Source organism: Homo sapiens, chromosome 7 (genome assembly GCF_000001405.40).
Source record: "Homo sapiens chromosome 7, GRCh38.p14 Primary Assembly".
Lineage (NCBI taxonomy): Eukaryota > Metazoa > Chordata > Mammalia > Primates > Hominidae > Homo > Homo sapiens.
The window spans coordinates 115,789,542-115,804,810 of NC_000007.14; the positions used below are offsets into that span (position 1 = coordinate 115,789,542).

The 15,269-nt window shown below is 37.2% G+C and overlaps 1 long non-coding RNA gene across 1 annotated transcript; it reads left to right on the forward strand.

The window, feature by feature from the left end:
- The first annotated feature begins 370 nt into the window (after positions 1–370).
- On the forward strand, positions 371–1,763 carry LOC102724407 (uncharacterized). Its single transcript, XR_428232.4, has 3 exons — positions 371–725; positions 888–1,080; positions 1,477–1,763. It is a non-coding gene; the product is annotated as an uncharacterized LOC102724407 (long non-coding RNA).
- The last annotated feature ends 13,506 nt before the right edge of the window (positions 1,764–15,269 follow it).

Below are 15,269 nucleotides of genomic sequence, written 5' to 3' on the forward strand. Positions count from 1 at the left end.
TCGGGTAGCCTGCTTTTATTTCCTTATTCAACCCCACCCACATCCTGCTGATTGGTCCATTTTACAGAGAGCTGATTGGTCCATTTTGACAGGGTGCTGATTGGTGCATTTAGAAATCTCGAGCTAGACACAGAAGGCTGATTGGTGCATTTACAATCCTTCAGCTAGACACAAAAGTTCTGCAAGTCCCCACTAGATTAGCTAGACACAGAGTACTGATTGGTGCATTTACAAACCTCTAGCTAGACACAGAGTGCTGATTGGTGGATTCACAAACCTTTAGCTAGACACAGAGTGCTGATTGGTGCATTCACAATCCTCCAGGTAGACAGAAAAGTTCTCCAAGTCCCTACCCGTCCCAGAAGCCCAGCCGGCTTCACCTCTCACTGGCACTCGCCTGTGGCGCCTAGCCCGGGCACTCCGGCAGCCCAGTTGGAGCTCCTCCCGCAATCAAGCCCAGCAGCTGCTGGCCAGCCACGCCCAGTGTGGGGCCGCCAAGCCCCCGCCCACCCGGAACTCTTGAAGGCCTGTGAGCGCCACCAGAAGCCCCGGCTCCCGCAGGCGCCTCTCGCTCCACACCTCCACGCAAGCAGAGGGAGTCGGCTCCAGCCTCGGCCAGCCCCAGAGAGGGGCCCCCACAGTGCAGTGGCGGCCAGAGCGGATGCCGAGGCCCAGGAGAGGCCGAGAGTGAGCGAGGGCTGCTAGCACGTTGTCACCTCTCACTAGTAAGTACCGATAATCAGGTTTCGCACTCTCCGCCAGGAAATCTCCTAAAATCAACTTAGATCAAGTTTGGAGAATGAGCCTACCAATTTTTTTCCAGTGTAGCAAGAAAGATCACAAACAGAATAGCAATGACTACTAATGCTGTCTCTGGCCCTTTGCAGACACCAGAAGAGGTGGAGATGGTCCATATTTACAACATTTGTTGCAGACAATGAGACAAATTTAGTCCATACTCCACAAATTGCCAGAAGTAATGTTATTTGACCCAACAGGAGGGAGAAAGCGGAATTTGTGTGGAGAGTAAGATGCTGATGTTTGGATGTGCAGAGAAGAGTTTCCATATAGCAGGAAAAGGTATCATTAATTCTCCTTCGTTGTTGTTGTTGTTTTTGAGATGGAGTCTCACTCTTGTCACCCAGGCTGGAGTGCAAATGGTGAGATCTCGGCTCACTGCAACCTCCACCTCCTGGGTTCAAGTGATTCTCCTACCTCAGCCTCCCATATAGCTGGGATTATAGGTGCCTGCAACCAGGCCCGGCTAACCTTTTTTGTATTTTTAGTAGAGGCGGGGTTTCACCATGTTGGCCAGGCTGGTCTCGAACTCCTAACCTCAGGTGATCCACCAGCCTCGGCCTCCCAAAGTTCTGGGATTACAGACGTGAGCCACCACGCCTGGCCAGGTATCATTAGTTCTCTAGGGGAAAACATAGGAGTCTAATACACTGACCCCTTCTTTGCTTTACCCCACAGCCCTTTTTCCTTTCTCTCCAGCTTGTAAGGAAGAGTCTAGATATTCCCACATAGCACTAAGTTCTTCTAAGGGACAATACTGGAAAAAGAAGAAATCACAAGCTGGGTAAAAAGATATACCAGAGTTTAGTTTTGAGAAGGGATGCAGTGCTTGAGAGAAGAAGCTATCATCCACATGAACCATGAGGTAAAGAGACAGAGATTGGATGGAGGAATTTAAAATATAATTCCTTTTTATTAGTAATATTCTTTCTGTCCTTTGGTATTTATTAAAATATTGAGTAGATTATAACTGATTAGATGAGATTAAAGGTTCTGGGCTTTGTTTTGCTTTTTGTTTCTTGATTGCTGTTTCTTTGAATGTAATTCCATATGGTAACTAAGGTCCCATTTTTATTTTGATTATATTCTTGATAATCCAAACAAGATAAAATAAGGAACTAACCTAGGCTGTCGCTGTAATAATTTTGAGAATGGGATACAATGAATATTTACATATTTCATTAGACAGAATAAGATAATTGCCTTGGACATAAGGAAAGAAGAGAAAGAAATAATCTAAGATGATTACCTAGGTTAGTCGATTGGCTCAGTGAGAATAGCAACAACTACGGGATTTGAGGAAGAAAACTAATAACCTAAGTTGAAGACAACCAGTAGGCAATGGGATATCAATGTTTGCAGCTTATGGCAGAGTCAGAGCCAGAACTTCCCCTGCATGCTGGTGAAAAATAAACCCATGGGAAGAGATGAGATTCCCTAAGGCAGACGAATCAGTTAGGATCTCTAGAGGAATCCAAGGGCACCCTGAGATAGTTAATTGGACAATTGTTAATTAAAATTCTAAAATGTTAGCCACAATTAATATTCTTCAGATAATGTAGCAGTGCAAAATAAAGAAAATAGCTATCAACTATTAGTAATAACATAAGTTATGTTATCATTAGCATAACAACTATGCTATGATTCTTTGCTTTCCTTATCCTGTGCCAGCCCTTTTACCTATGCAGAGTTTTGGATCTGATGGAGTGACTCATACGTTTATTCTCATAGATTCTAAGCAATTGATGGTCATGTCTTAGCACATGGATTAGCACTGTTTTCTAAGGATAATTAGGCAAGGGAGTTTCAAGTGATACCCCAGTGATGCCTCTAAGTTCCAAACACAGTCTTTTTTATTCTACTAAGTAACAGTAACCCAATTTGTTTCTAGTTATTGTGACAAATCACCCAGGAGAGTGTAGTGATCTCCACCTTCTCTGCCTGATGGTTCAGCAGCATGAGATGCCCAAAATGTCCTGGGAATTGTTTTAGCTTCCAGTTCATTGGGAAGATGTTGATATTGACTCATGGAAGCATTTGGGCATTATGACCTTCAAATTATTGAACCACATTATTTGGGACAGGACGCAAAATTTCTTCTACTGTGTGAATAATTGGGGCGGGGGGTGGGGGCGCTAACCACTTTGATTCATGCTTCCAATACCAGAACTTTGGGAGGTCAAGGTGGCAGGATTGCTTGAGCCCAGGATTTCATGATTGGTCTTGGAAACATAGTGAGATCCCATCTGTACAAAAAAAAAAAAAAAAAAAGAAAGAAAAATTAGCCAGGCATAGTGGTGCATACCTGTAGTCCCAGCCACTTGAGAGGCTGAGGCCAGAAGGCAGGAGAATCGCTTGAGCCTGAGAGGTCAAGGCTGCAGTGAGCTGTGATCGTGCCACTGCACTCCAGCCTGGGTGAGAGAGTGAGACCGTGTCTCAAAAAAAAAAGAAAAAGAAAAAAAAAAGAAAAGAGTAATTGGTGAGAAGAGCCACTTCCACCTCTACGCTTTAACTCACAGACTTACACATCCTATTAATGAAGCCTAAATTGGTTGCTGGATTAAAACATATACCTCACTATGTAGGAATACAATCCTCACCTCACAAGGTGTTGTCTCCTTGTTTGAACTGTAACTGAGCCTTTAGTGGGCCATTCCACTGTTCTTTCAAACTGGCTACCATTGCTATAAAATGCGGTCCTAGTCAGAGAAGACATATAGGGGAAAATGGCAGTTGATCAAGTCATTCTACGAGTTCATGAATAGTGCTGCTTGCAGGAGCATTGCAGGCAGGGAAGGTAAATCTTTATGTAGAATATGTAGTTGTACCCATGAGAGCTGCCTTCTCTGATGGGAGGGGTCAACTTTTTTTTAGGGCCACCCTTGAGTGGGACTGGAGTACAATATACATTCATTACCTTCCATCTTTTCTGCCAGCAGAGCTCTGATTTTCTTCTGAGAAGTCGTATCCATGTGCCAGAAAACAAGTAGGGTTACTATTACCCAGTCACAAGAGATGAGTATTACAAATAAAATACTACAAAAAAAAATAGAACACTAGGCTATTCTAAGCCAGTCATGATTGTGTTTTTCCTTGCTAGGATACGTAATAAAATTTTAACTGAGATTTAATAGAATATGCTGAGGGACTTCTTGGAAATGAGTCCTCCTCCTAAAAGGTTATGTATAAAAGGAACAGACCCTTTCTGGCCTCTGCATGTTGTTATGTGCATTTGACACCTGGATCTAAAGCAAACATCTTGAGAAAATGAAGGACACTAGCTTAAGTGCATAAGCTAACAAAGTGAGGATGGCATACTGGAAAGATGAAAACAACCTAGATCCTTGATAATGTTGTTAAGCCACTGAATTAGTCACTCATGGAATTGCTTTGCCTGTAAACTTATTGTGTGCAAAACAAGAAACAAAACTCCCAAATGTGGAAATGACTGAATGAAGGAGGTAGGGCAAAGGGCAAAGGTAAGGATCTTACCCTTCATTCTAGAAATCTAGAAGTTTGGCAACCTTGCAGAGGTAGGGAAGAAAAAGATAACTAGGACATAGGACTAATAAAATCAGTCTCTCATTGAATGATCTATAAAAGATAAAGGAGTCAAACTGGAACAAATATAGGATTATGGGTGGCTTCTTTCACTCAAGTCTATTTTTTTTTAACCCAAATCTACTTTTTAAAGCCTTCATGTAGAGACCATTAAAACTGAGAACGAAGGGGTTGATCAGTACACCAAATCTAAGTGCTGATAATTCTTTCTTTCTTCCTTTCTTTCTTTCCTCTTTCTTTCATTCTTTCTTTTCTTTCTTCCTTTCCTTCCTTCCTTCCTTCCTTCCTTCCTTCCTTCCTTCCTTCTTTCCTTCTCTCTTTCTTTCTTTCTTTGCTTTCTTTCTTTCTTTCGAGACAGGGTCTCACTCTGTCACCCAGGCTGAAGTACAGTGGCGTGATTTTGGCTCACTGCAACCTCTGCCTTCCAGGCTCTAGCAATCCTCCTACCTCAGCCTCCCAGGTATCTGGGACTACAGGCATGTGTCACTATGCCCAGCTAACTTTTGTATTTTTGGTAGAGATGAGGTTTCGCCATGTTGCCCAGGCTGGTCTCGAACTCCTGACCTCAGTTGATCCACCTGCCTCAGCCTCCCAAAGTGTGGGATTTCAGGCGTGAGCCACTGGGCCTGGCCGATAATTCTGTAAATGTAAGAGTAACTGTAGACTCCTCACTGTCATTACAACATTGGCATCATGTGAGAGTTTATTAGAATCTCAAGTTCTGTCTAGATTTACATAATCAGAACCTGCATTTTAACAAGATTCCCAAGTGATTGATAAGAACATTAAAATTTGAGAAGCATTTTTAAGGCAAAACTTTTGTATGGTAGTTATTAGCACATGGAATTGACTAGAAAAAAAATAGATGAAAAGCTTATTAGGTTCGTAAGGGAAGTGTATTCCCACTGAGTTTTCTATTGCTTGCTGCTTAATGCAAACTCATTTGTACTGAAGGAATAGTTTTTGAATGGAAATGGCTTAAACATACTTATAGCCTCTTTTTTGTTTAGTGTAGTAAATATTTTCAGATTTTTGAAAACTATAAAAAGCATTAGCATTAGGATTCTGAGATCAGTAATTCTGTAAGATGCAGAAATAAGTATAAGTGAGGTTTTGGAACATGAAATGTTTAAATAACTGTTTAAGAAGACAATAAAGTCAATATCACATGAAAGGAACATGATTAGCTTACAAATGCAAGCAACTCAATGTCATTGTTAGGCACTATCTAGGTACTGGGAGTAAAAAATATGAATGGCATAATCCTTGCCTGAATGAAACACACAATCTAAATAAACTGTAAACCAATTGTCAGATTAAAATGAGCAGGCAAAAATAAGGGGTATGTTTTGGTAGTCTTTGGCATATACATCTCCAAACAACAGGCAGAAGCTTCATAGTAAGCTTTACATTTTTTCTTAAGTTAAAAAATAAAAACTTTCCAGCATACATTATTCTTCTCCTGCAAGCAGTACCACAATATTTTTTAAGGTGCCAACTCTCCCCTATTTTTGATGTATGTGGTTCAAGTTAAGCTACACCATTGCTCCAGGGTAGAGGCATGAGATACAGGTCTGGCCAATCAGAAACGAGTATAGTATTGTTTCCAGCTATCATCCTTCCCTCCAGCATCTCCCCAACTCAAGAGGAAGAAATCATTCACTAGAGTAGGAAGTCTGGACAACCAGAAAAATGATTCCATTTGTAGTGATAGAAATGTCAGTAAGTGAAGAGCATTTGGGAAGGAAGATGAAGAATTCCACTTTAGATAATGAGATTTAATTTAAAATGTTATTATTTCTTTTTGATTGTGAAAGTAATGCCTGGTTTTGCAGATAATTTTGAATATAGGCAAAAGTGAAAGAAAAACATTTAAAATACTTTCTCAAACACCTATTCTGTATCCTTGCAGTTAACCTATGATTTTACTCCTTTTAGCTTCTAATATAATAAATTACAAAAACTGATTATTTTTAACATTTAAGCAAACTTGCATTGCCTTGCATGAACAAACTCAGCTTGTTTTCTCTCTTTCTTTCTCCGGCCCACCCCCGCTTCCTCTTCTCCTTCACTCCCTCTGTTTGGTTACACAATTAAACTGCTGAATTTAATTACTAATATTTTGTTTTGCATCTATGTTTATGTATGAAGTTGGCATAAGATTTTCTTTCTCATCTTTGTCAGGCTTTGCCACCAAGGTTAAATTGTTCTCATAAAATGAATTAGGAAATATCTTCATATACTCTGAAAGACTTTGTTTAAAATTATTTTATCAAAAAAATTAAATAAATAAAATTATCCCATTAATTCATTGAATGTTTGGAATAACTTATTATTAAAATTGCTTAGGCCTGAAGTTTTCTTTGTGGAACAATTTTAAGCTACCAATTTAATCCTGTTAAAAGTGCTGAACGTCTCCACATATCCATTTCTATGTATTCTCATGCACATTCTCATCATTTACTTTGTAGAATTATGTTGGTGTAAAAATTTGTCCTCTCATTTAAGTTTTCAAGTTTCTTGCCACAAAGATGTTCCTACTCTCTTCTTGTATTTTTACCACCGTATTTTCTATATTTACGTCCCTTTTCACATTACTAGTGTTGTTTTAGCTTTTCTCGATTTATCATGAGATTTTCCATAGGTTAGGAAATTTTATCAGTTTTTTTGGGGGGGCGGGTAGGAAGTCGATTGAAGGGCAAAATATATCTTATTTGATCCTTTATATATTTTGTTTTGTTTCATCAATTTTTTCTCCCATTTTATATTTTCCTTCCTTCAAGTTACTTTAGATGTATACTGGTCCTGCTTCCCTGACTTGATCATGTGTTCATTAATTGTCAGCCTTTCTTCTTTTCTAACTTGGGCATTTTAAGTTTATGAATGTCTCTCTAGACACTGCCTACCTGCATTCCATAAGTTTTCATACATAATATTTTCATTATTATTCTTGTTCTTAAACATTTTCTAGTCATCACCATGATATTGCCTTTTTTCTATGATTTATTTAGATTTGCATTTAAAAAGTTCACAACATGTTGTAGCTATTGTCTTTCAGTACACACAAAAGCAATTTTCCATGTCCTTCTGCTGAACTGTCTGACTTTCTGCCTTTCCTTAATATTTGGCCTTATTATTATTATTATTATGGGTTTTTTTTTAGACAGTTTCTCTCTGTTGCCCAGGCTGAAGTGCAGTGCCACAATCTTGGCTCACTGCAACTTCTGCCTCCCAGGTTCAAGCAATTCTCCTGCCTCAGCCTCCCTTGTAGCCGGGATTACAGTCACCCACCACCACACCCGGCTAATTTTTATATTTTTAGTAGAAATGGAGTTTCACCATGTTGGCCAGGGTGGATTCGAACTCCTGGACCTCCAGTGATCCAACTGCCTCACCCTTCCAAAGTGCTGGTATTACAGGCCTGAGCCACTGCACCCGGCCTCAGGTAACTCTCTAAAAATATTTTTTATTCAGTTTTTCAGGCTTTCTTAAGAGGAACAATCAGATTGTATATTCTTTATTTTGCGGTTGTGACACTTCAAATTTTTTGAATTATTTTTTGTGTAAGATGTGTATTTTGTGATAAAATCCTGAAATAGTATCTTAGCACTAGTGCTTTATTTTATAACATTTCCATGAAAACAAGACATTAGTTCAAAAACAATTAAAATTTAGAAAATTCTCGTTGTCTGCTTAATGGCAGATATTTCAAAAATCATTGAGTTTGATTAGTAATTCTCATGATTTGTTAGCTTTAAACAAAAAGTTGTTCATTGTAGTAGAAAAATAAACATCAACAAAAATAAATCTATTTAAATATAACATCTTTATAAGAAATGTAAACTATGACTTCAGAAAATATTCTTTGAAAAATTGTGTGTAGTTTTTTAGATTAATGATGTGCTTAAATTTAAAATAAATCTCTTTTAAATGGTCCAAAAATACAAATGCAGCAAGCAAAATAAAGATGTTGAAATATTTTATTTAATTTAAATTTAACATCCAGAAAAATAACAAAATACTTATATAAATTATACTCATGAGAGAAAAATATATTCAAAAATGGGTATTCTGAAACTTTAAAAACCTATTTTATGGTTTAATAAATTTGAACCTTAGCAGACAGAGCATACCAAAGAATTACAATCGAATAGAATGCCTAATTTGCACTGATATTTGTGTTTTCTCATACTTCCACGTTGTTAGTATCAGAATTTTTAAGATCTTACATGACCAAGATGAATTAAGATTACAAACAGAATTAAGGTTGTTAATCAGTTGACCTTGAAATAGGGAGATTATCCTGGATTATCTAGGTGGATCCAGTGTAATTATTGAGAGCCTGAAAAGATGGAAGAGGAAGGCAAAAGAGGGGTCAGTGTGAGAGAAAGGCTTGAAGATACTATGTTTTAAAGATGGAAGAAGGGGCCTGGAGACAAGCTGGAATCTGGAAAAGACAAAAAATAGATCTCCCCTAGACCCTTCAGAAAGAATGCGGCCCTTCAGACGCCATGGTTTTAGTCCAGTGATACCTAGGTCAGACTTCTGATCTCTATGACTACACAGTGATAAAGTTGTGTTGTTTAAGCCACTAACTGTGTAATAAATCGTTACAGCAAAAATAGGAAACTGATACAACACCAACTCTTTAAATGTATTAAGACATCTTGCAAAGACCAGCTGATAGAATCCATCTGAAAAGATTATAATTAAAGATATTTCAAATTGGTAAATTTGCATATAATGGAAATGTCAGCTTTCTGCATTCTTATCAAATTTACTTGAAGACAGATACTATTTTTATGATAGAATCATAAATGGCTACCTAGCTTATCTTTCAATATGAAAACCTAAACAGGAAGATATAATTTGTCAAGTTAATTCTCATGGGAACATCATAAAATGGATTATTGTTGGTTAAATTGGACATTCATACATTGATGCCATTATCTCCAGACCTTTTTCAACAAGGTCTAAAGAACTACACTTTTGAGATTCACTATGGAAATTTGTTGTCACCAAGAATTCAAATAATGCTTTTAAAATAATAATATTAATAAAAACCTTCCTTTAATATTTCTGAACCAGAGAGGTTACTATTCTACCCGGTTTATACTTTTAGACTCAAATTATTTTAGGTAAAAGAGTAAAAAGCTCAAAATTGTGTTTTAGGAAAAAAAAAGTAGCAAGATAAGAAACAGTTTGGACTTCTAGCAAGGGTGACTTTGTAAGTTCATACTTTTGGTTAAACCCATGTTTCCAAACACATTGTGATGACAAAATATAAAACAATAAAATAAAGACCCAACCTGGAACAAAAAGAAGATAACTTCCCTGTAGAGCAAACAAACAACACAAAGAGTAGACAGAAGCAATGAACCTGCTCAACTCAAGGTCCGGAGAAAGCAGAGGCAGCCAAGAATTAGCTCATGTAGAGAACTGGAATTAAAATATTTCATATGGATTAAGGGGACCCCTTGAAACCTAGGGATTTTGTGGATTCCCTGATGCTAATAATACAGGAACTGGAACTGTGCTTATATGCTTTCATGCCCGGGGAAGCAGGTGAAAATACACACAGCATCACAAGGAAACTGAAATAAATTGTTTGGGACTCGTATGCAAGAGCCCCAACAGTACCCTAGTGCAGAATGCATTTCAGGATTTGGTTATGGGTTTGGAACTACAGTAAATGCAACACCATTAGACAGAAAGTTATGGAGAAAGAGTAAGAGTGAAAGTAAGAGAGAGCAACAGTGGAGAGAAAGTAGGAGAGATCCTACAAAAAACATTAAAAAGATAGCCAAAAGTATACAACCAGAGATCAATTCTTCTTAAGTGAAATTGAAATAATAGTACAGTCTGAAAATATGCTTTTAAAGCATATGTTTAGGAGGCTGAAAAATCTAACATTCATACAAAATAAATAATTAGCTTGAGAATATTAAGGGAATCAATTTGAAATCTTAGATGAAACAAAATTATTAAAATACAAAGATGTATACCTAGAAGAAACTCCAAACTGAGCACAGAAAAAAAAAGATGAAACAACAGATTTCTGAGGGGCTAACCCAGAATATAGCACACAGAGTACAAGAGTAAAAGAAAGAGAAGGAGGAGGAGGAGGAAGTAGAGGAGGAAGAGGAGGAAAAAGAGTATTGCAAGACATGAAGGATAGATCAAGAGCCTCCGATAAATAACTAATAAGGTATTTCATAACTATAAGGTGGTCCTGGCTCGATAGTGTCCTCAGATGGTGTGATGGTTAATATTAAGTGTCAACTTGATTGGATTGAAGGATGAAAAGTATTGTTCCTGGGTGTGTCTGTGAGGGTGTTGCCAAAGGAGATTAACATTTGAGTCAGTGGACTGGGAAAGGCAGACCCACCCTTAATCTGAGTGGCCATGGTCTGATCAGCTGCCAGCCCAGCCAGAATAAAAGCAAGCAGAAGAACATGAAAAGACTAGACTGGTTCAGTCTTCTGGCCTACATCTTTCTCCCGTGCTGGATGCTTCCTGCCCTCGAATATTGGGCTCTAGGTTCTTCAGTTTCGGGATTCAGGCTGGCTTCCTTGCTCTCAGCTTGCAGAGAGCCTATTGTGAGACCTCACCTTGTGATCCTGTGAGTCAATACTCCTTAGTAAACTCCCCTTTATATATACATCTAACCTATTAGTGCTATCCCTCTAGAGAACCCTGACTAATACAGATGGCTAGGAGAAGCAATTTCAGGTATTTCTGAAGAAACATATCTGTCTTCATTCTCATTGAATGATCACAGATAAAGTTTCAAGAAAAGTAAACATATCATCAAAATCTGCAAAACAAGGAAATAAGACACTATAAGCAAGAAAGAACAGAAACAAAGAGGCAACTGAATTAAATTCCAAGTCTTCAATTATAAGGATTGTCAGGAAACAGAATATTAGTATGTTCAATATGCTTAAAAATATAAAAAAGGCTACAAATGTGAACAAATATGAAAAGACTGGAAAGTCATCTTATCTAGCTGAGAAACAAATAGAACTTATATAAAATAAAATACATAATTATTTAAATGAAAAACAAATTAATGGGAAGAATTAGCGGTAATTTAAGTATAAATAGATTTTTAAAATTAGTGGATGGAAGACACAGATAAAGAAATTACTCAGAATGTGGCACATAGAGACAGAAGTAGAAAACATGAAAGAATGGTTAAGAGACAAATGATAATGTGAGGAGATATAGAAGGTGTGTGTGTGTGTGTGTGTGTGTGTAATTGCAAGGAGGGTAAAATGACTCGTAAAAAATAAAAATTGCGATTCATCATAGTGAAATGGCAGAAATTAATGACACAAAGAAGATCACTTAGAGAGAAAAACAGATTATCTTTAAAGGGACGGAAACCAAAACCATAGAGAACAATTTATATTATATTATTAAAGTCTTGGGAAAATTTATGCCAGCCAGACACTAGCCAAATAAACTAATTTAGTACTTTTAATACCAGGCAAAATAGAACTCAAGGTAACAGAGGATATACAATACCAATGCACAGTAATTTTAAAAACCTACCAGAAGTAACACTAATCTCAAAACTAGAACTAACAAACTCGATTTCAGAATAGATTGGAGAAAGAAAAAAAAATTGCAGTGTGAAATTTAATGAGAAAAATAAGGAGATAAACTTGTCTGTTGAATGTGGTATTAGAGATTCAATGTTGATCTTCAAGAGAGCAGTATTATGAAACTGACTGAAGAGTAAACCAGTTTGCAATAGGAAAAAAATGAAGGACAGGTGAGAAAGTGAAGATTTCAGAATTGTATCTGGGGAGCGAGAGGGAGAGCTAATGCCAAAGCTGGAAGGGACCATGTGGCCAAGAGAGATTTTTTTTTTCTTTTTTCTTCTAAAACCTGGACATCCTTTTCAACAGAATTTGAATGTGATTTTTGCTTGCCAATGTGGAAAATTATAATAATACTCTTCTTTATTGGTCCTTTTCCTCTCTTGTCACACAAGTGGAGGAATCAAAAAAGAAAGCCCTTTGAGGTCAGGCCTTGGGTCACGTGCTACTTTGTTAGCATGAGTGCAAGAAAGAAAGGTGAGATGTCATTTAGCCATACCCACATGCATGACTTCCTACTGCCCTGTGATACCACCTGGTACAGTAGCCCCCTTGGAGTCCTGGGAGCTGACCAACTGGGTAAGCAACTCCTCCCTCAAGGGAGAGAGGTGAAGTAAACCAGAGGTTCTTAAGTGTCGAATTTTGTCCCTGGCCTGGACCCTCCCAAATTCATACATTGTAGCTATAACCTGTAGTACCTTAGAATGTGACTCTGTTTGGAAATAGAGTCTTTAAAGAGGTAATTAAGTCAAAATGCAGTCGTTGGAGTGGGCCCTAAACCATTATGACTGATATCTTTATAAGAAGTGGAGATTAGAGCACCACCAGACGCAGAGGGGAAACCGTCTGAAGACACAGGGATAAGATATCCATCTGCAAGGTGAGGCGAGAGGCCTCAGAAGAGATCAATCATGCTGACACCTTAATCTCAGATTTCTGGCCTCCAGAATTATGAGAAAATAAATTTCTGTGGTGTAAGCCACCCAGTCTGTGGTACTTTGTTATGACAGCTCTGGCCAACTGATAGAGGACTGGATGAAATTCTGAACTCATTTTCTCCCTAGTGTCCCAAACCTCTTTTTTATCTTATTATTTTATTTTATTTTAATTATTTTATTTTATTTTAATTCTTTTATTTTAAATTTAAGGTGTGACAGGGCATTGCAGCCAAGCCCACAGTCAGAGGAAAGATCAGAATCAAATATTCAGATAAGATCAGAGAGGTTGACCTTAAAAGTCCCAAAAAGGAGTCAGCACAAAGCCACATTTTCCACTATACTGAAAAAGTAGCCCTTGCTCTTTTTCTCTGTCTTGAATTATGCTCAGAGGTGTTGTGCAGCCCTTTGCACTAGGAATGAAGCTTGTTATGCCCAGGTGATAAGGTAGCTCAAATAAAAAATAACACTAATAATTTCAAATTAACAGTTTGAAGAAAATGACCCCATTTCTTTACTAAAAACCCACAAAAGAAAATTGATGCCCCCAAAAAAAGTTAAGTCCACATAGTAAAAACCCTCTTTCCTTGTGGTCACAGATAAATGTAAAATATTCCTTAGGTAAAAGTGATTAGAAAAATAAAGTCAAAGTTCACAAAGCTATATCTTTTTTTATTTGTCCAGAAATACTAAAGTTTAGAAATGTAAATTTCCCTATCACACAAACCTTGTGACATTTCCAATAATTTCAGATATACTTGGAGATAGTTTTCATAATTAAAATAAATGAAAATATTTTAATTTCAAAATACTTAGTAAAATGTCCTGGGCTTTAGAATTAAATCTTATGTGTTTGAATCCTGAATCTGTCACTTACTAATGGTGTAACATTTTGTGACATACTCTGTAGTTCTCTGGCTTCCAGGGTTCTCTTATGCAAATAAGAATAATAATGCAAACCACACATGATATTTTAAAGATAAAGTAAGAAAGTTTGAGCCAAACCATTTTGTGAAGCTTAAGGTACATTATTTGGGGTGCTATTTTTATTATTTTTATTTACCTTTGAGTAAGTAAGAAAAGGGCCCCAAGGAATTTTTCTTTCCAAAACTGTTTTTTAAAGCCTGTCTTTCTCATATAGCATCTGAGACCTCTGCTTAGTAGCTATCAACTTTTGCCATGTTATATTCTGAACACAGCCTATGAAAAAATATAAAAATGTCATGAAATCCAAATCTCCCCATTTCTAACACTCCAAACTGTCTATCTTTGTTTTACTCTGCATTGTATATTTTTAAAATAGATAGTAGGAAGCAATGGCCATTCTGGCTTGCTGCAGTTAGAGCTGTACTGTAAGGGGTAGATACGTAAAACACCCATCCCTCAGAGGCCAATGCAAGGGAGCCCTGAAGATTAGCCTTGGCCTTGAGGTTTTCTCCAAGCAAACATCTTATCAGGCCAATGGAAGACAAAATGTGCACTTACATTAAAAAAAAAAAAGAAAAAAGGAAAAGTTTACTCTGGATTTAACTTTAAACCCAGGAATGTGTGATGGTATGCTATAAATTGTCTTTAAGGTGGGAACATCGAAAGTCAAACTTCTAAGTACCTGAAAGAAAAATTTGAAGCTTCTTGCTCTTTTGAGTGTCAAGTGACCAGATATGTGTACCACGTCTATGGAACTTAATGATATAGGTTGTCTACCCTTTAATATTTATGATGTTATCTAAAGGCTGTATATACTTGACATTTCCAGGGCCAATTTTTGGAAATGGTCTTAACCCAGCTTCTAAATTTGCAAACACAAACTATTTGGGCAAATACTTCTGGTGGTTAAATAACAATGCAGTGTTTGAGAATATTATTTGATGCACATAATTTTAGAGAATGTGCTGGAAGAAGGTAAAGTAGGCTCCCCACTACACACAAATAAAACTTTTAAAAACCTTAAAGTTCAGTCATATCCACAAAGTTTTTATCTAAAAAATGAAAAGGAATGACAGAATTTAGGAATAGCTTATTAAACACATCAGATGACCTCAAATATTCACTTAACATCATCATCATTTGAAAGTACCTTCCTAAATAAAGACAGGTAGCATATCATTATCTGTTTTATTCCTGGGGATTTGACTCCCTCATCTCGTCTTTCCCATTATAGATAATTACTAAAACACCAAACACTAATCAAGAGATCTATGGGGATCAAATAAGTAGGAAAGGATTCTCTCTTCCTCCCAGGTACTTGAATGGGGGACTAGGGGGAATAATTTTCTATGGTCTAACTGGTCAATGTACTATTCATGTTTTTCAGTGCATTCATTTGAACATCAGCTTAATACAGTCACCATGCCTAAATTCTAGTAAT